This window comes from Homo sapiens, chromosome 2 (genome assembly GCF_000001405.40).
Source record: "Homo sapiens chromosome 2, GRCh38.p14 Primary Assembly".
Taxonomy (NCBI): Eukaryota; Metazoa; Chordata; class Mammalia; order Primates; family Hominidae; genus Homo; species Homo sapiens.
In genome coordinates this window covers 96,496,747-96,522,504 of record NC_000002.12, presented here as the reverse complement: position 1 = coordinate 96,522,504, position 25,758 = coordinate 96,496,747, and the positions used below count along the sequence as shown (strand labels likewise).

General features: G+C 51.7%; 1 protein-coding gene across 6 annotated transcripts, besides 4 other annotated features; it reads left to right on the top strand.

Moving 5' to 3' along the window:
* Positions 14,050 to 14,389: a silencer, noted in NCBI's record as "silent region_11767". NCBI's record gives its function as "represses an Ori minimal core promoter by ATAC-STARR-seq in GM12878 lymphoblastoid cells {active_cell/tissue: GM12878}" and the evidence as "EXISTENCE:reporter gene assay evidence [ECO:0000049][PMID:35858748]".
* NEURL3 (neuralized E3 ubiquitin protein ligase 3) lies at positions 14,396 to 24,859 on the top strand. Of its 6 annotated transcripts, NM_001285486.2 has the most exons (6): positions 17,148 to 17,246; positions 17,796 to 17,974; positions 21,581 to 22,066; positions 23,056 to 23,127; positions 23,231 to 23,315; positions 24,059 to 24,859. In NM_001285486.2, exons 3-6 carry the CDS (start codon positions 22,027 to 22,029, stop codon positions 24,246 to 24,248), a joined length of 387 nt encoding a protein of 128 aa, NP_001272415.1. In that variant the 5' UTR covers positions 17,148 to 17,246; positions 17,796 to 17,974; positions 21,581 to 22,026; the 3' UTR covers positions 24,249 to 24,859. The 6 variants fall into 6 exon arrangements, 5 of the variants coding, with proteins under 5 accessions (XP_011510481.1, XP_011510480.1, NP_001272415.1 ...); XM_011512179.3 differs by lacking the exons at positions 17,796 to 17,974; positions 23,231 to 23,315 and adding an exon at positions 14,396 to 14,711 and having other exon boundaries at positions 17,172 to 17,246; XM_011512178.3 differs by lacking the exons at positions 17,796 to 17,974; positions 23,231 to 23,315 and adding an exon at positions 14,396 to 14,711 and having other exon boundaries at positions 16,996 to 17,246.
* Positions 20,944 to 20,993: an enhancer, noted in NCBI's record as "active region_16218". NCBI's record gives its function as "activates an Ori minimal core promoter by ATAC-STARR-seq in GM12878 lymphoblastoid cells {active_cell/tissue: GM12878}" and the evidence as "EXISTENCE:reporter gene assay evidence [ECO:0000049][PMID:35858748]".
* Positions 23,652 to 24,651: an enhancer, noted in NCBI's record as "H3K4me1 hESC enhancer chr2:97163591-97164590 (GRCh37/hg19 assembly coordinates)". NCBI's record gives its function as "activates a minimal SCP1, AML or CMV promoter by ChIP-STARR-seq in naive H9 embryonic stem cells {active_cell/tissue: H9 hESC(naive)}" and the evidence as "EXISTENCE:reporter gene assay evidence [ECO:0000049][PMID:30033119]".
* Positions 24,652 to 25,652: an enhancer, noted in NCBI's record as "H3K4me1 hESC enhancer chr2:97162590-97163590 (GRCh37/hg19 assembly coordinates)". NCBI's record gives its function as "activates a minimal SCP1, AML or CMV promoter by ChIP-STARR-seq in naive H9 embryonic stem cells {active_cell/tissue: H9 hESC(naive)}" and the evidence as "EXISTENCE:reporter gene assay evidence [ECO:0000049][PMID:30033119]".

The window sequence follows — 25,758 nt, the reverse complement described above, 5'->3', positions numbered from 1 at the left end:
CCTGCAATAGGATGAGGAAGTGCTTGCTTTGATGTCCCACTCCCCTTAGACTCACTTTTGTCCACCTGGAGACAGCATCCTGGGGCACATAGAGGCCCACCATGGTGCCTGAGCTCCTGCACACCCAGCAGAAGCTGGAGGGTGGGAGCGGGGGAGGAGGATGTATAAACGTTGTATTGAATGATAGAGTGCACACATGCTGAGCATATACTGTGTGCAAAGACAGTGCCACTGGCCTCTTAGTTCATTTTCTGCTGCCGTAACAGAATACCACAGACTGGGTAACTTACAATGAATGGAAATCTATTCGGCTTACTCTTTTGGAGGCTGGGAAGTTCAAGAGCATGGTGCCAGCATCTGGTAAGGGCCACGCAGAAGGCGAAAGCAAGGGCAGGAGAGACAGAGAGAGGAAATCGACTGAATTAATCCTTTTTATCAGGAGCCCACCCCTCGGCGATAACGCTTCACTCACTCTTGCATAATAGCATTAATCCATTCATGAGGGCAGAGCCCTCATGACCTAATCATCTCTTAAAGGTTTCACCTCTTAATACCATCAGAATGAGGACAAGCTTCTAACACATGAATTTTGGGGGAACACATTCAAACCATAGCAGCTGGGGTGGGTGAGATTGCGCAAAAAGCATTCCTGCTATCGATAATGAAAATATCACTCTGTGTATGCACAGCACAGAAAATTTCACAAGCGCTTTCCTACACTAGCTTTTCATCCTCGCCACAATAGTCCCTGACTTCAAAAAGCTTATAATTTAGTTACTGGAGAAAGTTGTGAATAACTATGATACAGTGCAGCAAGGCCAACATTAGGGGGAAGTATCCCTAATCTGGAGGTATCTGGAGATAAAGACTTGAGCCACGTCCTTAAAACAGTAGCCAATTAGCAAATGTAGGTTAATTTGTTGTTAATTAAGTATGTGGCAGAACCCTGATTTTGATGGGATTGGCAAACAAATTATACTTCCCATCATCCCTTGCAGCTAGGGGTAGGCTTAGGATCCAGTACTGGCCAATGAGATGTAAGTAGAAGTTAGCTGGGGATTTCTGGGAGGTAGACTTTCCTGGTGTAAGCCTCACCCCTTCCTTGTTGTCACTTCCTTTTTTTCTTCTTCTGGGAAGGTGGAGCGAGGCTGAGGTGGAATCAGGCGGCAGGTGCTTAAACAGGAGTTTAAGGCTCTTGGAAACTCATTACTGTCTCTGGATCTGTTTCCTTATCTGTAAACCAGAGGCTGAATGAGATAAAAACATTTTTAAGCATTCTACTTTGCTAATTTATAATATGTGAACATATAATACACATACAAGCGTCTGTGAATGGGTTGAGAAATATGATTTAATTGACAAAAACTCAGATTACTATAACCTAATGTCTTAAGGAGCACAGCCACCCTCAGTGTAAAGTAGGTGCTCCAGTAGATTTAAAATAAATCAATTTAGGACAGCTGCCACTCTTTGAGGCTCATGTATTTGTGGTAGAAAAAAAAATGATTATTTTAGTAAAAAACATCTGGCTGTGCACATTTCTGCTGCCTGACAAGTGTGCAGTTATTCAGCCAGCATGAGGACAAACCTCTGTACTGCCTCCTTCAGTTTACACAGACTGGCGGGTGAAGAAATCATGTCTAGAATTAGACCACGTTAAAGGAATGATTGTAATCTTAAAGCATCTGTGATTCTAACACGTAGGCCTGGAGTTGATAACCCTTTGTTTAAAATCTCTCAGTATGATGGTGACTTTGACAGTTTTTTCTTGTAATTCTGTAACTGTTTGCTGTATATATTTTAGAGTTATTAGTTGCAAGCAGGTTCAACATTGTTTTATCCTATTGATGAATTATTCCTTTTATCATTATATAATGACACCTTTTTCTTAGTGATGGCTTTTGCCTTAAAGTCTATTTTGCCTAATACTAATATTGCTACACCATCTTTCTTTTGGTTAGCATCTGCTTAGTATAGAAATATTCCCAATATTTCTGTGTCATTATGTTTTAGGTGTATCTCTTATAAATAGCATATAGCTAGAATTTTAAAAATATAATCTGAGATTCTCTGTTATTTGAATGAAAAATCGAGTCCATTTACATTTATTATTATTATATATTTGGATTTAATTCTGCAATTTTACTTATTTTATATTTACCATGTTTTCTTTTTTTTTTTTTTGAGATGGAGTCTCGCTCTGTTGCCCAGGCTGGAATGCAGCAGCGCAATCTCGGCTCACTGCAACTTCTGCCTCCTGGATTCAAGTGATTCACCTGCCTCAGCCTCCTGAGTAGCTGGGACTACAGGCATGTGCCACCACACCTGGCTAATTTTTTTTTTTTTTTTTTGGTAGAGATAGGGTTTCACCATGTTGGACAGGCCAGTCTCGAACTTCTGGCCTCAAGTGATCTGCCTGCCTTGGCCTCCCAAAGTGCTGGGATTACAGGTGTGAGCCACTGTGCCTGGCCTATATTTACCATGATTTTGCTTTGCTTCTTTCCTCCCTTTGCTAGTATCTTTTTTTTTTTTTTTTGAGACGGAGTCTTGCTCTGTCATCCAGACTGGAGTGCAGTCATGCAGTCTTGGCTCACTGCAGTCTCCTCCTCCCGGGTTCAAGCAATTCTCATGCCTCAGCCTCCAGAGTAGCTGGGACGACAGGTGCACACCACCATGCCCAATTAATTTTTGTATTTTTAGTAGAGATGGGGTTTCACCATTTTGGCCAGGCTGGTCTTGAACTCCTGACCTCAGATGATCCACCCACCTTGGCCTCCCAAAGTGCTGGGATTGCAGGGTGAGCCACCATGCCCGGCCTGCCAGTGTCTACTATATTAATCAAATTTTCTTTATCTCCACCCCCTTTCCTTATACTGGTTTGAAAATTATACATTGTATTTTGATTCTTTTAGTAGTTAACTTATATTTCTATCATGTGTATTTGATTTAACAAGGGATAAATTAATCAGTATATTTAATTCATATAATTTTATTTTTTAAGAGATGGGATCTTGCTCTGTCACTCAGGCTGGAGTACAGTGGCATGATCATAGCTCACTGTAGCTTCAAACTCTTGGGCTCAAGGGATCCTCCCACCTCAGCCTCCCAAGTAGCTAGGACTATAGGTGCATACCACCATGCCTGGCTAAGTTTAGAAAACTTTTGGTTGTAGAGGCAGAATCTTGCTATGTTGCCCAGTCTGGTCTGGAACTCTTAATCTCAAGAGATTCTCCTGTCTCAGCCTTCCAAGTGCTGGATTACAAACATGAGCCTCTCTACCTGGCTTATATCTTTATGCCCCTCCCAAGCAAAGATCTTAAAAGCTTCAACTCCAATTACACACCTTCCATTTTCCATGTATTATTATCTAATGTTTTATTTTCATCTTATTTTTAACATCCCAAATTATTCATTTTTGTTGTTGTTGGTATAAATCAATGACTTTTTTTTTCTTTTTAGAGATGGGGGTCTCTCTCTGTTGCCCAGGCTGGAGTGCAGTGGCACAATGATAGTTCACTGCAGCTTCCAACTCCTGGGCTCAAGTGATCCTCCCACCTCAGCCTCCTAGGACTGCAGGCATGTGCCATCATGCCCAGCTTTTTTGTTTTTGTTTTTGTTTTTTTAATGTTTTTGTAGAGATCCAGGGTCTTGTTATGTTGCCCAGGCTGGTCTCAAACTCCTGCCCTCAAGTAATTCCCAGCATCAGCCTGCTGAGTAGCTGAGATTACAGGTTCAAGTCACCAGGCCCAGCTCAACGACTACTTAGGTTTATAATGGATAACATTTTTGTTTACTGTGGCAGTTTGTATTTTTTTAAAGATAGAAGCAACCATAGCTCCCATCTCATATGCTCTTCTGCAATATGAACTCGACACCCCCCATCAAGAGATGGAATCTATTTCGTCTGCTTTTGAATTTGGGATGACCTTAGTGACTTGTTTTAGTCAGTAGAATGTGGTGTGTGATTTCTGAGACCAGATTAGAAAAGGTCACCCATCTTTCCTAGTTCTTTGGAGCACTTGCTCTCTGGACACTCCCATGTAGAGGCCATTTGTAGATGTTACAGTCAACAGTCTTCACTCAGCATGGTCTTTGAATAATCTTAGCTCAGATCCTAGATATGTGAGTGAAGGGGCCTCCAGGTGCTTCCAGCCCTCAGCCACATGAGCCATTCAGGACTTTCCAGCTGGAGCCCCAGACATCATTTAAAAAGTTGAGCTGGCTGGGCTTGGTGGCTCATGCCTGTAATCCCAGCACTTTGGGAGGCCGAGGTGGGTGGATCACTTGAGCTCAGGGGCTCAATACCAGCCTGGCCAACATGGTGAAACCCCGTCTCTACTAAAAATACAAGAATTAGCCGGTCGTGGTTGTGCACGCCTGTAATCCCAGCTACTTGGGAGGCTGAGGCAGAAGAATCGCTTGAACCTGGGAGGTGGAGGTTTCAGTGAACTGAGATTGTGCCATTGCACTCCAGCCTGGGCAACAAGAGCGAAACACCATCTCAAAAAAAAAAAAAAAAAGTCGAGCCATCCTTGCTGTATCTGTTTGAGTTCCTAACCCACAAAACCTGTGAGCATAATAAAATGGCTGTTCTTTTACTTCACTAAATTTGGGGTGGCTTGTTATACCCCCAAAAAATAACTGGGACACTTCGATTGCATATATTTCCTGTGGGTTCCATTTCCATCTTACCAATATATATCCTACAGTTCCTATAGTAATTATTTCAGTGAGGATCTTGAGTGATAAAACTTGTTTTTGTCTGCAAATATCTTTTCCCCCTTACTCTTAAATAATAATTTTCATGGGTCTGGAACTTGAAGTTCATGGTTGTCTTCCCTCAGCACATTGAATATATTTATGTTTATTGTTTTTGGCAGATATTATTAAGAAAATTTGTCTCCAATCTAATTATTGATCCTTTTAAATTAAGCTGTATTTTCTCCCTAGTTGCTTTTAAGATCTACCTTTGGTGTTCTGCAATGTCTATTTGTATATTTATTTTTATCATGCTCAGTAATCAATGGGCCTCTTCAATCTGAAGATTTATGGCTATTTCTTGTTCTAGAAAAACTTCATGCATTATTTGTTTGAATGTGGCAAATATTATCACTTTCTGATTCATTTTGACTTTTTCTTCTGGAACTCCTATTAGTGGTATATTGGACTTTCTCGTTTTATTATCCATGTCTTTTAGCTTTTCTTTCAAATATTCTCTTTGCCAGAGTTCTGGTGAATTTCTGCAGATCTGCCTTCCAGTACACCTATTCTCAATTCAACTGTGTCTAATCTGCTGGCTTGCCAGTATATTGTGTTTACAAATTCAATAACCATATTCTTTTGTCTCTGTGGTTCTTTTCCAAATCTGTTGTTTTACACAGTATCCTGTTCTTTATCATTTTTATTCCTTCCTTTGTATTTTTAATCATTTTAATATGCTAATTTTATATCTCTTTTGGCTTGTCCTATTATTTCAGGTTCTTAGAGGTAATGATTTTCTTTTTCCTTTTTTTTTTTTTTGAGATGGAGTCTCACTCTGTAGTCCAGGCTGGAGTGCAGTGGTGCAATCTCGGCTCACTGTAAGCTCCGCCTCCCGGGATCACGCCATTCTCCTGCCTCAGACTCCCGTAGCTGGGACTACAGGTGCCCGCCACCACGCCTGGCTAATTTTTTTGTATTTTTAGTAGAGACAGGGTTTCACCGTGTTAGCCAGGATGGTCTCGATCTCCTGACCTCGTGATCCATCTGCCTCAGCCTCCCAAAGTGCTGGGATTACAGGCGTGAGCCACCACGCCCAGCTGGAGTTAATGATTTTCTTGTGTGTTGTGCCTGCTGGCTCTCCTTCATGGCAGATGGTTTCTTCATGTGATTTGTAGCTGTTGTTTGTGAACTCATCTGCAGTGGAGTTGTTTTGTTCCATGGGAGTCCTATATATTCTGGATTGTGAAAATGGCCTCAGAGATGTTTTGTATTTGTTTCTGACAACTGCTCCCAAGGGCTCATGGGGGAGCATTTTTGTGTAATTTTTCATCTTGGGAATTCTTTGCCATATGGATATCATAAATTTGGCTGCCACCTTCATGAATAGTTTTGGTTTTCAGTTTTGATTTTTCCCAGGAAACTTTTCTTCCACCCAGAGGCCTGGGCAAAGACAAAATTCATGTGTCACCTCCTAGTTTTGTGGGTAATTCTTTTCTGAGGGGCCATCCTTCCAGGGTTCTTGCTTTATACAGAGGTCTCAGTTCCAGTTCTCCACAAGGCCACACCTCTGGATCCTAGTGGGTGTTGAACCCTCAGCTCCCGTTGGTGGGGCCCCCGTCCATGTCCAGTTTCTCACTGGGCCCCCTGGGTTAAAGCCCAAATCTGGCTCTAAGTTCTCTCTGTACACTCGACACCTCAATGCTTCTCCACTCCTTTTTCAAGTTCCACTGTTGTTCTAACATCTTTCACTTATATTTGGTACTGAGTTTCTCAGTGTTGGCAGGGGAGGTGGCATCAGCATTAGCTGAGTCCATGGTGTTGCCAGAATCTGAAGTCAGTGGTCTTGATGTTTAGCAGAGCACCTCAGGGAGATTTGGGGGCACGCAAAGTTAGGCCTGGGGATAATATTAGTTCAGAGGGGGAGCTGTACTGCTCTGCATGAGAAATAGATTTGGGGGTGAGGAGATTTGAATTGGCTCCAAGAGAGGGAGAATGAGGGGGCTGGGGGTGGAGGAAGGCTCTGGCTTATGAAGAATGAACAGTGTGATGTCATGTTGACACAAATATTGCAGGGCCCTTGAAAATAGGGGTTGGGGGTGCATGGTGGCTCACAGCTGGAATCCCAGGACTTTGGGAGGCTGAGGCAGGAGGATTGCTTGAGCCCAGAAGTTCAAGACCAGCTTGGGCAATATGGTGAGACCCCATCTCCACAAAAGTTTTTTAAAAAACTTATCAGGCATGGTGGCAGGTGTCTGTAGCCCCAGCTACTCAGAAGGCTGAGGCAGGAGGATCACTTGAGCCCAGGAGTTCGAGGCTGCAGTGAGCTATGATTGCACCACTGCTCTCCAGCCTGGGTGATAGAGAAAGACCGGGTCTCTAAAAGAAAGAAAGAGAGAGAGAAAATAAATAATGGTTGCCTGAGATTCAGTTTAACTTGGTTCTCTGTGCTGTGAGCTGCACTGTAAGCCTTGCCTCCCTGCTCACACTTTGTGTGACCCTAAACCTTCAGTAAAAGTTGTTGCTCACAAATGTCTGTGTCAGTGCTACCTGAGTAAAATCAAGGGGAAAGAGGCTACCTGGGTGCACTGGGCTGCAGGGAAGAAAACATCCGCAGGAAAGGAGACAAGGAGAAGGAGGGACCTAGTGGGAGATGATTGAATCATGGCGTGGGGGATCTTTCCCGTGCTGTTCTTGTGATAGTGAATGGGTCTCACAAGATGTAATGGTTTTTAAAACGGGAGTGTCTCTGCACAAGCTTTCTCCTTTGCCTGGTGCCATCCATGCAAGATGTGACTTGCTCCTCCTTGCCTTCCACCATGATTGTGAGGCCTCCCCAGCCATGTGGAACCGTAAGTCCAATAAACCTCTTTCTTTTGGAAATTGTCCAGTCTCGGGTATGTCTTTATCGGCAGCATGAAAATGGAGCCTTGCTTACCCCATCCACCCTGGAGTCCCTGGAGCCCTTGAGCAGGAGGCAGTGGGCTTCTCTCTGAATGGAGAAAGAGGATCCAGAGGATCCAGGCAGTCTCCTTACTTCGGCTCAAATAAATAGCACACTACCCTCAGCTAATGCACTCACCTGCAGCCTCCACGCGGAGTGACTCATGCAAACATGCATGCTATGTCTGCAGTTCCATCCAAAGCCTGCAGCCCCACACCCACCCAGTAGCCTCTGACTTAGCCACCTGGATGATCCAGAACAAACCTGAGAACAAAGAAGTGTGGCTTAAAAATGATACATGTCGCCCAGTACATGTACTGTACTTTTGCACATTTTCAAAGGACATGTGAGATTTCACTCAGGACCCTGATCTTTATTTTATTTTTATTTTTATTTTTATTTTTATTTTTTTTGAGATGGAGTCTCTGTCACCCAGGCTGGAGTGCAGTGGCCTGATCTTGGCTCACTGCAACTTCTGCCTCCCAGGTTTCAAGTGATTCTCCTGCTCAGCCTCCTGAGTAGCTGGGATTACAGGTGTGCACCATCAAGCCAGGCTAATTTTTATGTTTTTAGTAGAGATGGGTTTTTGCCATGTTGGCCAGTCTGGTCTCAAACTCCCGACCTCAGGTGATCCGCCTGCCTCAGCCTCCCAAAGTGCTGGGATTGCAGGCCTGAGCCACTGTGCCTGGCCTTATTTTTTATTTTATTTTTGAAATGGAGTCTTGCTCTGTCACCCAAGCTGGAGTGCAGCCGCATGAACTTGGCTCCCTGTAGCCTCTGCCTCCTGGGTTCTAGCGATTCTCGTGTCTCAGCCTCCCGAGTAGCTGGCGTTACAGGCGTGTGCCACCATCACACCCAGCTAATCTTTGTATTTTTTTGTAGAGACAGGGTTTTGCCCTGTTGTCCAGGCTGGTCTCAAATTCCTGGCCTCAAGCAATCCACCCACCTGGCGCCTCCCAAAGTGCTGGGATTACAGGCATGAGCCACTATGCTCGGCCTCATCTTTGTTTTAGAATTAACAAAACGGTGGAGAACTTTGGGGTCAGTCCTGGTTTGACCTATACGAGTCACTCAGTCTTTCTGAGCCCCAGTCCCCATCTGTAATACACCCCAGTCCCACAGCCAGTGGGTGGTAGAGTCCCCACTCTGTGCTGCTGACTGTGCTAGGCTATTTCATGGCACTTGCAAAGGCTCAGCACATCATGGGCCCCCAGTGTGTGCTGACTGTATGGCTGAAAGGATTGATGAGACACTAAAGTCCCCCATGAAGGCACAAACCAGAAGGTAAGTACTCGTCCAGTCACAATGAAAGGAATGAAAGCATAAGGACGGTGTGCATGCACGTGTGGCGCCGGGGACCCATGCTCCAGGTTAGCTACTGGAAGACACAGAGCCTAACCCAAGCCAAGACAACTCAGATACACTGACAGGATTTGAGGACCCTGTCTTTCTTCCCTCCACCGAATATCTTCACACACAAGGAGGAGCAGAGAGAGGCAGCAGCAGCCCAGTCAGGGCAGAGGTAGTGCTTCGCTTCAGAGGGAAGGGTTGACTCTTAGCTTGCTTCTCAAAGCTCAAGTCGGGGGCTGGGCATGGTGGCTCACGCCTGTAATATCAGCACTTTGGGAGGCCAAGGCAGGCAGATAACCTGAGGTCAGGAGTTCGAGACCAGCCTGGCCAACGTGGTGAAACCCCATCTCTACTAAAATTGCAAAAATTAGCCTGGCATGGCGGCATGCCCCTGTAATCCCAGCTACTCGGGAGGCTGAGGTGGGAGGATTGCTTGAACCCGGGAGGCAGAGGCTGCAGTGAGCCGAGATCGTGCCACTGTACTCCACCCTCTTGACAGAGCTAGACCTCGTCAAAAAAAAAAAAAAAAAAAAAAAGCTCAAGTTGGGAGAGGAGAGGCTCCTTAAGACAGAATGGGCTGGAGTCCACTCCACTCTGGCAGGGAACATTTGGCCCTAGCTCTGCCAGGGTGGAGGGGGTGTCAGGAGACCTAGGGAATGGTCAATCCCTGCCTGTGGAGGATGGACTGTGCCCAAGGCCTGGGCAGTAGAGACAATGACAATGGCTGCAATGAGCTTTGACAATGGGCAAAAACTCAGAGGAGTGGAAGGAAGATATTTTCTTCCTCTCTGCGCTATTTTGGCTTTGGTGAGGGACCAGAAGGAACTCCAGGGATCTGGAAAAATTCTACTGGAGAAGTTGGTGATTTGTCCTTCTGGCCAGTAGAGGTGGTTCTCAGCTACAACAGCTCCCCTGCCCACCCACCCACAGTGCCCCCACAGCTGAGTTCCTGCGGGCTGGGTGCCAGGCGATGTGCATGCAGCACATGTGAGTCCCAGGGGCATGGGGTCTCCCAGCGCTCAGAGCCTCCCACCACCCTGCACCCAGGGTGCCATGCCCTCTCTCTTTCCCTGCACCCTATGGCTGCTGTTTTCCCTCAATATCCATTCTCTCCTTCTCTATTGTAATATTGGAACACTCCAATTTCTGTCTAGCTGGGCACATGATTGCCCAGAATGAAGCCTACACTTCCCAGTTCCTTGCAGCTGGATGTGGCCACACAACTAAGCTTTGGTCAATGGGATTCAAGCTGAAGTTTGGGCCATGTGTGCTCTTTCTGGCTGTGCCCTTTAAGGAAAGGGGCATGCCATGGCCTACTCTGGCCCCTTTTCCCTGCTGGCAGGAGGCATAACACTTCTCTTGACCCACCTGTCTGGGGCTGCAGATGCCCCTGTCCAGGAGGTTTGGCAGAGCCAGGGGCTGCCCTAGCCATGCTGGGTTGGAGGTCTCAGGGTCCTGGAGAGGCACAGTGCTTGTGACCTCACCTGAGCGATCCCACACAGGGCTCCACGGGCCCCACCTTGCAGTGAGAGGACTGTCGGGCACAGTGAATGGCCCCAAGAAAGGCACTGATGTCCTCTTCAGTAAGTGGGGGGCGGGGGGGTGGTTTACTGGTAAGAGCAGGTATTTACTGGTTAGTGCAGTTCCCTGTGTGGGAATGTGCTACTCATTACTCATTCAGCCCTCCTATCAGCCCGCACAGAAGGCCTCTTTATTTCCATTTTGCACATGAGAAAATTAAGGCTTAGAAAGTGTTGTTAGCCAGCCCACAGGCTTATGGCTGTTAAAGTCTGGATTTGAACCCAGCTCTGGCTTCAAAATTTATGCAGTTGGTCACTCCATTGTTCTCCTTCCCCAGTAACTCCGAAAGATCCATCAGAGTCCTCCAGCTGAACGACTGGATCCCTGCCTGGCTGATCCCATCCACCACTGTATGACTGATCGCTTCATCTATGTTCCCAGTGCTGTCATCTCACCTGAGCTTCCACTTGGATTCTCAGTTGCCTTTGAGCCACCTGACTTGATGGTTAACAGCTGCCTCAGACACAGCTATCTGCTAGTACTGTGTTCCTCCCAGACTACCCTCAGTAGATCTGTGTCCCTCCCCGGGGCCCTGGCATCACCTCCCACTGTTGCCAGGCTTAGCCTTGGCTCTCCTGGGGTGCCCTTCCCTGCCTCGTGCCCTTATTAACTTCTCACAGTTCCCTTCCCCTCCTTGCATGCTTCCATTTTCTGCCCAATGGTTCTTTCCCCCAAGCAGACAGTTCCAGGTTCCTCAACCCTTGGCTCCTGCTGAGAATCTTTCAGCAATCCCCTATTTGCTATGGAAGAGTCCAGCCCCTCCACGGCACGGCCCCTGTGATCAGGCTGCCTTCCTGCCCCCCTCCCCACAAGTTGAAGGACCACTGCTCCACTCTACCCTGGGCTAGGCAGTGCTGGCTTCCCACCAACATCCAGTTTCTCCTTCTTCCTTAGTGACAGACCCCAATTTTTAGCTGCTCTTCCCGATAAAGACCACATTTCTCAGTTTCCCTTGCAGCTAGCTGTGGCCATGTGACAAGGTTCTGGCCAATGAGCTATAAATGAAAACGTTACATAGGCCCTCCAGTAAATCAGCTTAATTGCAAGCTGGCTTGGCTTAGCTTAGAGGAGTGCCCATTTGAGTCTTTCTCTTCCCTGATGCTTGGAGCTCTGATGTACTGGCTGGAGTTCCAGCAGCACTTTTGGTACATGACGTGACCTTGAGGCCAGTGCTAGAATGGTGGAGCTGAACAGCGGAGAAAGCCTGGGTCCCCTATGGCTGCAGAGGTGTCATGACTAGCTGGACTGCCTGTCTTCAGCTTATTTTATGTGAAAAAGAAATGAACATGCCTTGCTCAAGCCACTGTCCTTTTGGACATTCTCTTGCATGCAAGCAATCCTAATCCTACCTGATACAACCATACAGCACAGATCATGTCTCCTTTCCTATGCTTTTGTGTGTGTATTCCTTCTCCCTGAAATGCCTTTCATTCCTTTCTTGGCTGTTGAAATCCTATTTACCTTTCAGGGCACAATTTTAATAACTCTTCTTCCACAAAACCTTCACCCATTCCCTGGGCATAACAACCCCTCGACACCGCTGGTTTTCCCAGCCCTCAGTTTGGCCCTCTTGTAGCACTTACCTAAATTCCAGGGCATGCACAAAGTGGCTGAAGGATGAGGATTGGGTTTCCTTCAATCTCTGGTTACCCAGAACTGGGACAGTGCTTGGCACATAGCAGGCACTAAATCAATTCCTGTTGAACACACATGCATGCACACATGCACACGCATGCACACGCATACACACACCCCACACAGGGCAGGCACCACCAGGGCAGGTACCAGGTGTCTTTCCAGGACAGACACCCTGACAGTTGTGTATGGGGTGAGGGGGCACGGGAAAAAGGAAAACAAGAAACCAAAAGAAGAGAGGGCACACCTTTCCCTTGACCCTTCCCTCACGCACAGGCATGAGCAGCCACGCCAGGCCTGGAAGCTGTGCCTCTCTCCCCCAGCTCCCCTCTCTGGCAGGCTCCCCATTCATGCCCAGTGGGCGCTCCCGTGCTGGCTGCTGGCGGGGAGAACCAGGAGGGAGGAAGGCTGTGGAGGCGCTCGGCAGAATCAGGACCCAGGAGGACCGCAGCAGAGCGGAAGTGACAGCACAGACCTGTTAATAACTCTGGGCTGGTACTGTGCTACAGGCTGGCCTCCCTCTCCTCCCTCCCACCCCCAAGGCCCCGTGGGGGCTGCAGCTATTGGTCCAGAGGGCTTGTTGGAGTTGTTGGGTGCTCGAGAGGCAGGCCGACTTGGTGGCTGAGGGCGGCGCCTAGGACACAGGTGCAGTCCTGGCGGAGCGTTTGTGGCCCATTCCCTCCAGGGCACCAGGCCTGTGGTCAGTTCCGCTGCCGGCCACCGGGTGGCAGTGCTGGTCAAGCCCTCCAGCCTCCAGAGCCGGTCTTCCCAGGCGGCGTGGATGCTCCCTGACTCACCAGCTCCGCCAGAACGACATTGTTAGGGCTGGAAGGGCTTAGCCAACATAACACGAAGACGCAATTTATGTATGATTTGAGGGTCCGATTGGAAGGGTTTTTTTGTACATCTACACACCTGTGTGACCACGATCAAGGTGCAGGACGTTTCCAGCTCCCCAGAGGCTTCCCGTGTCCCTGCCGATCACTACCTCCCAAAGGCAGCCTTGTCCTGCTTCGAACACCACGGATGGGTTTTGCCTGAACTTCCTATGAATGGCAGCACGCGGTGCTCTTTGGGTCTTCCCTTACATCAGCCTCACGGCTGTGAGGTTTATCCTCGTCGTTGCAGGTAGCAGTAATTTGTTGTCATTGGCACAGTATTCCATGGCGCGCATATGTGGCAGTTTAGGTCCTGCTGATGGTTGTGGGAAGCTGGGCCGGGAGCAGCCTCTGAGACAGAGATCAGGGACAGGGCTGCTTAGGCGGCAGACCCGGGGAAGCATAGGCCTGGACTGGGTGTGGGTGGGACACTGGCCTTGGCCTCCGGGGAATGGGCCCTGCATTCCCGGGGATCTGAGCAGTTCAGCTCCCCCAGCTGAGTGTGAGGTGGACAGCAGTGGACATTCGCTTGTTTCCAGGCTGGGGCTGTTGTGCAGAGCGCTGCTGTGGGCCAGCACACTTGGTTCACGGGGGTGGCATGGCTGGGCCATGAGGCTGGCAGAGGGGTGCCTTGTGCAAAAGCTCCCAACGCTGCCCTGTTTGGCCCCTGCGCGCCCTGGCCGACCGCCCACAGCGCCCGCGGCCCTGATGTTCTGGGGCTGGTTTCTAGGCAGGGCAGCCCCTGCCCTCTGAGATTTTGGCCCGGCGGGGAACGGATGAGGGCTGGCAAGTGTCATAGGTAGGCGTCCCTGGGCCTTAATGGCAGGGCCCACGAGGGACCGGGCTGCCTGACAGTGCCCCAGGTTGGGCTGGGCTCCCGGTCCCGCTGGGCCGCACGCTGGAGTGGGCGCGGGGCAGCAGTGGCTTCCTCGTGTGCCAGGCTCTTCCCGGAGCGCGGGTTGAGTCTTGAGAGATAACCTGCGTGAAGACATGTGTAGTGATGGGGCTCTGGGCAAGAGAGGCCGACTGCAACAGAGGGGTCCCAGTGAGGCTACCACCCACCCTGGGAGACGGGTGTGTGGGAGCTGCGGTATAGTGAGCCTCGGCGCCGCTCACCTCCCTCTGGGGCGCCCCTCCCGGCTTTGGGGGCTCCCGGGCCCTCGGCGCCTCCTGCAGTACTGACCGCCGCCAGCAGGGGCCGCCTCAGTCTCTGCACAGCGGAGACCGCCCCGCGCTTGAGGGCACGGGCCCGCCCCTCTCAGAGCAAAGGTTTGCAGCGGGGCTGGCGGGTGACATCTACTGCGGGGCAGCCTCAACCTGACACTCAGCAGCAAGTTAGGCCTATCTACAAATCTCCTGCTCTGTGCCCGCGCAGTCCAGTGGAGGAGATATTCCTAATTAGGGGGCACTTCCAAGGGGCGGAGTCTCCGCGGCGAGTGGCCGTGGAGGGGCGCAAGGCAGACGGTCTCCAGCCACGATACCTGGGCCAATCCCAGCCTGTCACGTCATGCCTAGTGAGCTGAACAAGCTGCGTAACTGTCGTGTGCCTCAGTTTCCCCACGTGTATAATGGAAATGATTACAATAAACAGGACCTTTTTGAGGAGTTGCCATGAGGACTGTCAGGTAAGTTCTGGACTTAGAACGGTAGCATTCCGGGCCAGGAGCGGTGGCTCACGCCTGTAATCCCAGCACTTTGGGAGGCCGAGGCGGGTGGATCACGAGGTCAGTAGATCGAGACCATCCTGGCCAACATGGTGAAACCTCATCTCTACTAAAAATACAAAAATTAACTGGGCATCATGGAGAGCGCCACAGTCCCAGCTACTTGGGAGGCTGAGGCAGGAGAGTTGCTTGAACCTGGGAGGCAGAGGTTGCAGTGAGCCGAGATCGTGCCACTGCACTCCAGTCTGGGCCACAGAGCGAGACTCCCTCTCAAAAACAACAACAACAACAACAAAAACGGTAGCATTCTGCAGGGGAGGAAAAGTACAAAAGTAAAATCTTTCCCCACCCATTGCTCGGTTCATGGCTAGGACACCTATAACAAAAGACAGGTCAACAAGAGAAAAGCACACAAATTTATTTCATGTAAATTTTACATGACACAGGGGCCTTTGGAAATGAAGACCCAAAGAAATGGGGACATGTATTTTTATGCGTTGGTTTCATGAAGAGTGGGCATCGTGGAGAAGTGATTGGCTAAAGGGGGAAGGGGTAATAAACCGGGGAGAGTCGGCCAGCCTGTTCAGATTCTTCTCTCTGTCCCTGTGTCTTCAGAGGTAAGGATGGGTCTTATGGCCTCATGGCCCTACTTCAGGGGATTCGGGCAAAGGGAAGGTGAGCGAGGCCTTCCTGCTTCTGCTGTTTTCTTAAATGCCAAAGTGCCATATTTTGGGGTGGCATGTCCTGAACCCTGGCAGTTTGTTCAATAAACAAACACAGAGTGTGTGGCGGGTATGCCTGTACCCTGGACGGGAGGCTTTAGGCAGGTTTTTTAGCTCCTCAGAATGACCTCCTCTGCCCCCCAGCTGCCTCATGGCCCAAGGTCCCACTGATGCAACTATACCACCCCAGCCTGCTGGCTTTGGGTGGCCTGAGGGCCATAGCTTGCCAGGTAATTTTCCAGACAGTCTGAGGCTCAGAGTTGACTTCCCTAATAAGATGCCATACATACCTCTCATGAGAGTGTGATTTATTAACAAGATGCATGGCTGCAGCGCTCTGGGGAACCACCCAAGGCAGCCTGCACTAAGGTGGAGACGTACCTGGCACTAGCCATCCCTTAGCCGAGCAGTCACTGATTGTGGCCTTGATCTGGGGTCTTGGGAGGGGCTTAGCCCACAGGTTGAGGGTCAGGGCACTCACAAGGCTCCAAACCCACCAGGCCCTTGCCCCCGAAAGTGGGGTCCACTTGGCCAGGTGCGGTGGCTCATGCCTGTAATCTCAGCACCTGGGGATGCCAAGATGGGGGGACTGCTTGAGGCCAGAAGTTTGAGACCAGCCTGGGCCACATAGCTAGACCTGTCTTCACAATATCAGAAATATTAGCTGAGCATGGTGGAATGCACCTGTGGTCCCAGCTACTCAGGAGGCTGAGGTGGGAGGATCAATTGAGCTTGGGAGTTTGAGGTTGTAGTGAGCCATGATCACACCACTGCACTCTAGCCTGAATGACAGTGAGACCCTGTCTCAAAAAAAAAAGTCGGGTCCACTTATCTCAGGTAGGGCCTCAGGCTTTCTGAGTCAATCTGCATTTTAACAAGATCCCCAGGAGATTTGAGAGTATGTTGCAATGTGAGTGAGGAGCACTAGGTTAGAGTAAGCCACCTTCCCTCCATGATCCTCAGTTTTCCTAACCGAAATAAATATTGACGGGCTAGAATACCTTTGGCTTCTTTTCCAGTGCTAACACATTGGGAGCTAGACCTTTGCAGTGACTGTCTGTAGGGCTATTTGCATTTTGTGGCAGTTCTGGGAAAGTGGAATTCCCAGAAATTCCAGTGAGAAAGGCTGGAGGGACCATCAGCTCCTCTCCTCTTCTGTCTGCTTTACCCCTCCTTTCTGTTGGAGGTGCACAATTTCCCAGGTCCTGGGATACAGCAAATGCAATTCAATCTGCTTCAGCAACACAGATTGAGTTCCTTCTGTGTGCCAGGGTCTGCTGCAGTGAATCTCCATCCTGGCTGTACATTAGAATCATCTGCGTTGCTCTGTAAACTCCTGATGCCTGGGTTCCACCCTAGGCCAGTGGAACCGGAGTCTTTGGGGGCGGGGCTGGACATAGGTATTTATTAACATGCTTGGACCATTACAATGCACAGCCAGCTTGAGATTGGTCAGAAGTGAGAAAGAAGGCTACCGTAAGACCTACCCAGGCCAGACCCCCATTCCTGTTTCCTTCTCTTAGGCCGGCCAGCTCCAGCAGGTCAGTCTGCGAGTCAGGAGAAATCACTGGGAAATCCCCTGGATATAGTAACACATGACAGCACCATTGAATTAATCATCAACTTTGTAACGTGATCTCTGGCCCATAAAAAGCAGACCTGCTGAATCTTTGGTAACCTGTCCACTGGCCTTCTCCAGGCAGTTCCTTCTAGACCTGGGGACCTGTGCCCGAGGACCTTAGACTGATGGGTGCCCAGCTCTGCTTCGAGGCCAGTAAGTAGACCTCCTGCAAGCCTGGAGCTTGGTCTCTGGACTGGGGGTACAGGTAGCAGAGGGTGCTCTGTGTCATTGCTGGAGTAGAGATGTGGTCAGTGTAAAGTTTAGGGGGCTGGTGGGGTCCCAGTTCTGCCAAGTTGAGCTATGGGACCTTGGGTAAGTCACTTTGTCCCTGGGCCTCAGTTTCTACATCTCCAGGCCAGGGACGATGCCTGCTGGCTTACAGGGATCTTTATAAAATCAAACGCACAAATCAAAAGAGTGATAGGCACAAAGGTTCTCTGCAAGCCTCACCTGAGGCCACAGGTGTCCCGTAGTGGAAGAGCCATATGTGGGGGAGATAGAGGACCTGGTCTTTTTTTTTTTTTTTTTTTTTTTGAGACGGAGTCTCGCTCTGTTGCCCAGGCTGGAGTGCAGTGGCGTGATCTCAGCTCACTGCAAGCTCTGCCTCCTGGGTTCACGCCATTCTCCTGCCTCAGCCTCCCGAGTAGCTGGGACTACAGGCGCCCGCCACCACACCCGGCTAATTTTGTTTTGTATTTTTAGTACAGAAGGGGTTTCACCATGTTAGCCAGGTTGGTCGCGATCTCCTGACCTCGTGATCCACCCGCCTCGGCCTCCCAAAGTGCTGGGATTACAGGCGTGAGCCACCGCACCCGGCCTTGAGGACCTGGTCTTTCAGCACCAGCTATTGGGGTTGTGCATCTCTGGACCTACCCTCCCAGGTAAAGAGCTGGGAGCCTGGGCTCAGGGTCCTCTGTCCCCTGGTGGGCACCATGGGCTCACAGACTAGTAGTTGGCTGTGCCAAGAGCCACTGCTGCTGTCACAGTAATGGTGTTTGGCAGGGAAATGATGGGCCTTAAAGGAGGTGGCATGAGAGTGAAGCAGCCAGGAGCAGCGCTGGGATCCCCCACTTTCTGGCTGCAAAAACACAGATGACTAGCACAGCCTTCTCAAGCTCTGAGGGCTTCCCCGAGGCGGGATGAGGAGAAAAAGAGGCTGCAAAGTGCTTATGGGTGCCTGACACCCTGAAAGGCTTGACACCTGGAGGAGTGGTGAGGATGGAGATCCCTAGAGGCTCTTGCTGAGCAAGGGGCCGCCCCTGCCCCACTCAGATTCCAAGATCTTAGAGAATCTGGAATCTGACTCTACCTGTCCTGGAGTAGAGACACCCCAGAGGCCCTGCTTAGCCCGCAGGCAGTCCACCCCCTCAGCAGTGGGGACCCCGGGGCAGGTGGAGTAATTGGAGCGATCGCCCATGGGCAGGGCACTCAGCTTCTCTGAGCTCAGGGTCCTGCCTGCAAACAGGACCCATAGAAAGAGCGGCTGCCTCTAGGTGTGAGGGTGCTTGGGCACCAGGATGATCTGAACCCTGTGCCAGCCCAGCCACTGGGGACAGGTCTGCTTGGAGAGCCACATGTGGCCTATGCCCACCTCTGCCACTCCCCACCCTGGGAGTGGGGTGTCCCGGGCTGCCTGGGTCAAAGTGTGGGAGGACCCCTGCAGGCCTCGTGGGAGGAGGCAGGTGGAGTGGAGGTGGTGATCACACCCGTCAGGCCACCCCGACCCTGCTCCAGACCCAGGCACAGAGCCCTGTATGAAGTCGGTGGACACGGTCCTGTGGGCCCTTGCCAGGCTGGTGGGTCGGGGGTGGGTTTCGGCCCCACTCAGCCTTGGTGGTGCACAGTGAATAGCTGACATGACCATGCAGACAGACCAAGAGTCTTCATAGATGAGAGGCTGTGCCCTAAGGGACCTTTTGCTGCCCTGCCAGGTCCCAGGGGGCTGCCCGAGGTAGGGGGTGGAGCCTGAGTGAGCAGCACAGAGGAGGCTGCTTAGATGCCCCGGCTGCGGAATGACCTGTGCAGCCACCACGTCCCCTCGGCACCCACCAGCCCTGGTGACATGAGGACTTAGCTCCATACAGGGCTGCTGAGAAGGCTCCTGAAGCAGGGATCGGGGAGCTTTGCAAACTGTCAAATTATCCTCCAGGGCAAGGCCTGCTTCTCAAGGGCTCCCAGGGCCTCATGCACCCTCAAGGCCATTCCGGGGGAGTTCCCCTCCTCCCTGGACTGCCTCCAGCCAGCCAGTTCCCTACTCCCTCCAGGAAGTGGATGGAGGAGTGAGGTCACCTGCCGTCCTCCACCCCTCCTTGCCCCCAGAGCCAGTCCTGCATGGAGCCAGCCTCTGTCCCGGGCACCTGCCTAGAGGGTAGGGTGGAAACTCCATCCCCAATGAGCACGGGCTCATCTCTGCTGGTTCCCGTCTAGGCCCATGGTGCTGAGCATGACAGGGCTCCAGCTCCCCTGACCCCAGGGGTTCCCCTTTCTCTGTAGGGGCTGCACTGGGTGAGGCTGGGAGAACTCCTCATCAACCCTAGTTCTGCCCCTGATTGCTGTGGGGTGGGGCTAGCCACTTGCCCACTGTCTGCCTCTTAGGATGGCAGCAGGATTGGGTGTGGCAGTTTGTAGAGAGGGCTCGGATGCCGGCCACCATCTCCGGCACCGCCCCTCGTCCAGGGCCATTGCTCCAGCCTCTTGCCAAGCCCACTCCAGGGCTTCTCTCCAGTTCCCACCTCAGGGATGGGCAGTGACCCAGCCAAAGGGCTGGCCTCTGCCCTCCTAGATTGTGGCTGGTTGTGCCAAGAGGCCCCACTTGCCCTGTCACCCCCAGCCCCATGCCTGGCCAGGTAGGCAGTGAACAAGACTCCAGACAGGTGTCCTGAGACTCCTGGCCTTGCTGGACATGCACTTCACTGCCGTTTGTAGGTGAGGAGGCTGGGCCCTGGAGGACAGTGACCTGCCTGGGCCAGCAGCAGGGCAGGCCTGGAATGGGGGTGTTAGCCATGGCCCAGCTGGTATCCCACTGCCCTCCATGGAGCAGCCTCAACCATGGGCACAAGGTCAGGTTCACTGATGTCAGGGACCCCAGCATGGCTCCGGCTCTCCATGTGTGCTGGCTCTGGGACTTCTCCTTGCCTAGGTGCAGCCTTGAGGCACAGGGAGCTGGGCAGGCCTGCTGGGATTCGCAGGAAGGGATGAGTGCATCATGGGAAGGCACGGGCGGGGCGCAGGCGAGGGGTGAATGCGGATACACAGGGCTCTGTGAGAGTCCCAAGGCCACGGTGAGCACTGGTCTTTAATGCTGGGGAAAGGTCACTGCAGGTAGGCTTACCTTTGGCCTGTGGAAGTCAGGGACAGAGTCACTGTCACCGCAAACGTGTCCTGGTGCCTGACCAGATGGAGCCTCCTGGCCCTGGGCTCTGCTAGAGGGTGTAAACCTGTGTGTAGTCAGAGTGCCTGCCTTGCCAGGGGAGTGTGACCTGATCTGGGAGGGGAGTGGCCTTGCTCCTTAGGATGGGGTCTGGCTTAAGTTCTGATTGAATTCGCCTTTTATTTTCAACAGCAAACAGCCAGCCAGCCTCCCTCCCCCAGCCCAGAAAGAGCAGGACCAGGAGGGGAGGGGCAAGGCCGGCTAAGGCAGTTCTGGGGTAGGAAGCCCCACCAGCTTCCTGCAGGCTGAGTGGAGAGGAAGGGCTGCTCAGTGAGGTGCTTTCCCCTTCTGACTGCCAGGCAGAGTCCTGTGGGAAGTCCCCTGGTTTCAGAGCCCATGCCAGAGCCAGGCTGGACCCCACCCAGGATTCTGAGGGGCTAACCTGGGACTTCCTCTCCAGCCTGCACCCATACTCTGTGGGGAGCAGCCAAGCCCCTTTCTCTCCCAGGACAAGGATGTCACCATTGCTGGGGGCCATGGTCTTCACAAGTGATGCAGTTCCCCATGGGAAAACAAGAGAGACAAGCAGAGAGGGAATAGCAGACAGCCTCCTGGAGCAGACCACAGTCAGCAAATCTGTCTGTCTCCTCTTCCGTCATTTTTAGGTGCATATGGAATAAATGTATGGGCTGGGCGCAGTGGCTCATGCCTGTAATCCTAGCGCTTTGGGAGGCAGAGGCAGGAGGATCACTTGAGGCCAAGAGTTCAAGACCAGCCTGGGCAACACAGCAAGAACTCATCTCTGAAAACAAAACAAAACAAAACAAACAAAAAAACCGTGTATAACAAACATATAGATATTTATGCCTGACTAACCCTACTCTTTCTCTTGAACAATAATAACCATTACTAGATTGGTCGCAGGAAGAGTACAAAGAGACATCAGTTCCTATAGTTTTCATAACAACCCTGCAGGAACCGAGAGAGGTGGAAATGGTCCCTAGGGGAAGGTCAAGGTGCTCCCAGGTGTGAGGGACTCTGGGATACTGGGGGCTCTCTGGGGAGCTGGTGGGTCCAGACCCGGTTAGCACTGACACTCCCCATCCTCAACCCACAGACGCCAAGGCGCCCCGAGAGGCACTTCGCTTCCATGCCGAGGCCAAGGGCGCACAGGTGCGTCTGGACACGCGTGGCTGCATCGCGCACAGGCGCACCACGTTCCACGACGGCATCGTGTTCAGCCAGCGGCCGGTGCGCCTGGGCGAGCGTGTGGCGCTGCGAGTGCTGCGGGAGGAGAGCGGCTGGTGCGGCGGCCTCCGCGTGGGCTTCACGCGCCTGGACCCCGCGTGCGTGTCCGTGCCCAGCCTGCCGCCCTTCCTGTGCCCCGACCTGGAGGAGCAGAGCCCGACGTGGGCGGCCGTGCTGCCTGAGGGCTGCGCGCTCACTGGGGACTTGGTCCGCTTCTGGGTGGACCGCCGCGGCTGCCTCTTCGCCAAGGTCAACGCCGGCTGCCGGCTCCTGCTGCGTGAGGGCGTGCCCGTCGGCGCCCCGCTCTGGGCCGTGATGGACGTGTATGGGACCACTAAGGCCATCGAGCTGCTGGGTGAGGCGACCATGGGGACCCCGCAGGGGAGGTGGGGAGATGGGGGCTCCAGTGGCACCCCACACCGATCCAGAGCCACAGGAAGAACGTTCACATTCAGTTATTCCATCAGCCCCTGCCCAGTGTTAGCTGTGAAGATGGGCACTGGAGACGCCAGATAGACAAGGCTCAGTCGTAGGGAGGGCAGTCTTGTCCCTAAAGAATGATAAGCAGATAGGACCAGCACTCACACCATCTGTTACTCAAACACCTGTTAGAGTGTCCATCTCCTTTTACAAAGGAAGAAACATTTGGGCTGGCTTTGCAGCCTAAATAGGAGTTCACTAGATACAAAGGTGGCAAGCAAAGGGAACACACAGGTGAGGCTAGAGGTGCGCATGGAGAGTGCCTGCAGGGAGAAAGCTGAGCCTCTCAGTCAGTGGGGGGGAAAAGAGAGCCATCCCTTTAGCCACCCCAGAAGAAGGTGGATTTCAGGAGAGCACAGAGAGGCAGTAATACCCATAACAAGAAATATTGGCATTCCTGGGCCGGGTGGTGGTCCACTCCCCGCCTCCTGCCAGCAAATTTGTTAAAACCATTTGTCACAGCTGCCAGCGCCTCACACCTGAAGCACCTGATTTGCTGGGTCTGGAGTGGAGCCCTGAACCTGTGTTTGTCCAGGCTCTTGGGAGATGTTGATGCCCATCTGGGTTGGGAATGTGGCTCGGCCGAGGGTCTCCACTCAGGCAGCGGCTGGAGGGCAAAGAAGAGGGGCCTGAAGGAAGGTGGCTCAGGAGGAGGAATCTCCAGCCCCAAGGATTCTCGGATTCTCAGCTGGGTCAAGCTGGGGAAGGGATGGCCAGGACAGGGTCTTAAAATTTGGGGATGGGGGCTCAGCATTGCAACCCAGGAAAGAAAGGAGACCGGACACTTTGCTGCGGGGCCAGGGGCGGGGATGGGGGGGCACCTGGGCTTGCCGTCCTGGACCTGAGTTTCTCTCTCTGCCTCAGATCCCACAGCCAGCCGGCTCCCAACACCCATGCCATGGGACCTCAGCAACAAGGCTGTGCCTGAGCCCAAAGGTGAGTGCCTTCCCAAGAATCAGGGACTCCCCGGGAATCCAGCACCTGGGAGTGGAGGGAGAAGCCCCACGTCCTACTGGTTGTTCATTCAAGTCTCTCACAGGCTTTGGGCCAAAAGATTTGGCTCTGCCTACTGGAAACCTAAAAGCAACCTGGCATCTCTGCCTTCGAGAGCATTTGCCTACTCTGTGAGTTATAAGAGCACTTTTATGAACAGACAGTGTTATTTTGTTCTTGCTTTAAAAAATCATCCACATTCATTGTAAATGCTTTGCCAATGGAAATAAAGATGAAAGGATAGGTGGGGTGCAGTGGCTCACACCTGTAATCCCTATACTTTGGGAGGCCGAGGCAGGAGGATCGCTTGGGCCCAGGAGTTTGAGACCAGCCTGGGCAACATGGCGAAACCCTGTCTCTACAAAAAGTACAAAAATTAGCTGAGTGTGGTGGTGCATGTCTGTGGCCCCAGCTACTCGGGAGGCTGAGGTGGAAGGATGGCTTGAGCCCAGCTGGCTGAGGCTGCAGTGAGCTGTGATCACACCACTGCACTCCAGCCTGGATGACAGAGTGAGACTGTCTCTAAAAAATAAAAAAGATTAAAGGATAAAGAGGAAAGTTAAAAAAAAAGCACCCATTACCTCTTGGGTGGATTTCCTCCCAGTATTTTCGGTCATCGATATAGACGTGTGTATATAGGGACTTGTCTGTGCTGCGTTTTCCTTCTCTCTAAATTGGAATTGGAATATATGTATATAAAAAATGGTTTTCTTCCCCCTTTTTTTCACTTGATTACACTGTAAGCATTTCCTCACTAGGTAACATTCTTCAAAATATAGCTACATGTTTCTCTGTCATTCTCTGTGGTCACATTGTGAGCGGGTTGCCCACCCCTTCCCCCATGTGCCCTGACCTGTGTTGCTCCCTCTTCCAGCCACACCAGGAGAGGAGTGTGCCATCTGCTTCTATCACGCTGCCAACACCCGCCTTGTGCCCTGCGGCCACACATACTTCTGCAGATACTGTGCCTGGCGGGTCTTCAGCGATACGGCCAAGTGCCCTGTGTGCCGCTGGCAGATAGAGGCGGTAGCCCCTGCGCAGGGCCCTCCTGCTCTGAGGGTTGAGGAAGGCTCATGAAAGGAGGCTTCCCAGTATGAGTGGCAGCCCGGGCCTAGATCTGAGTCTGGCCCCTGCAGAGAGGAAGGAGGCGCAGCCCTACCTTCTTTCTGGGGAAGAGTCAGAAAGGCTGATTAGCAAGAGGTGCGGCAGAGAGAGGAAGGCAGGGAGGTGCTGTCTGCTGCCTCCACCTGTTCCCCAACAGGATAGCAAGGAAAAACCCCTCTTTCTGTCCATGCCAGAACTATCCTTCTGATGGGGTGCTTTGTTTAGAGATGGGGTGGCCCAATCCCCAATCAGTTTTACATCTGAGGGAGTTCAGGTATCTGTTGTGACTGGTGAAGCCCTGTACCTCCTGGGTATTGAAGAACCTGGACTTGAAGCAGGAGGTATCTGCAAGGAATGTATAAAGTTCCACATGGAAGCTGGGTTGCCTCCCACAAGTCCCCAGTAGAGTGGATCTGTAGTTACCCGCCCTGCCTCCCTTTCAGGGTGGTCATGAGGTCCCAGAGAGACCATGCATCTGAAGATGATTTAAAACATGAAAGTGTATTGTTGTCACTGTGGTAATTTCCTTGCCAGTTTCTGAGATATCAAAATAAAGTTTGTGTTTCCTGAATGATTTTGTAGTGCCTGTATCCTCTTGCTTGCAGTCTGGGAGTGGGGTAGGAGCTGTGGGCTGTTCGGGATGATGCAGCATTTGGAGACATGCCATTCTGTCTTCCCCACAATCTGGGCTTGTAGGTGGCCTGGGTGGGCCTCTGGGCGCTCGGGCCCATGGACTGAGCACATGAAGGGGGTAGTCTTATAATCCCAGTCCTTAAGTCCCAACCAGACTTTTTGCCCTTGCCACCCTTGATTTTGGGGCACTGCCTGGAGGCTCTGACCCCCGACTGAAGGCAGGAGTTGGCCGGCCTGGGAGCCCACCTCAGCAGGTGTCTGGCAGTGGCAGGCTGTGCCTGTGACTTTGCTGTTGTCCCCTGCTCTGTGGCTGCTGTGGAGGCCACTCCTGGGGGAGAGGGCTATGTGAAGGGAATCCGAACCTATTGTGCCCCAAATGGAAAGTATGGGCACCTCCACACACTGCCTTTCTGCCCATCGCATAGCCAAACAGAAGGTCAGGATGCTGGATTTGATGACACCTGAGTATCTTTCACTCTGGAGTGGGATCCCCTCACTACCACCCACAAGTGCTCTGACCTGGGGCATGTGAGTTGACCTCCGTGAGCCTCAGTTTCATCATCTGTAAAATGGAAGTAGGATAATTTTCTTGCTGGTAAGTTGTGAGGAGCATGAACATTCAACTTCTAACTTAGAAGAAGGACTCAAAACTGGCAGCTCCCTTTCCCTGGAAAAGGCATCTCCCAGGGGAAGTTCCCAAGAGTGCACTGGAATGGTTGTCAGGGGCCTTGTGTGAGTCCCGGTAGCCCACTGACTTTTACCAAGGGCCTCCAATCACCCCAATACTTTGGAATGATTTCTATGGATCCTAAAGCAAGTATTTTCATCCTTTAAATG

Bases quoted from the DNA above. Each gene is read 5' to 3' on its own strand.
- NEURL3 (XM_011512179.3), top strand. From the start codon at position 17,219: ATGGGTGCCCAGCTCTGCTTCGAGGCCA. The intron at 17,247-21,580 runs GTAAGTAGACCT...CTCAACCCACAG, and splicing joins CCAGCTCTGCTTCGAGGCCA to ACGCCAAGGCGCCCCGAGAG. The intron at 23,128-24,058 runs GTGAGTGCCTTC...TCCCTCTTCCAG, and splicing joins GGCTGTGCCTGAGCCCAAAG to CCACACCAGGAGAGGAGTGT.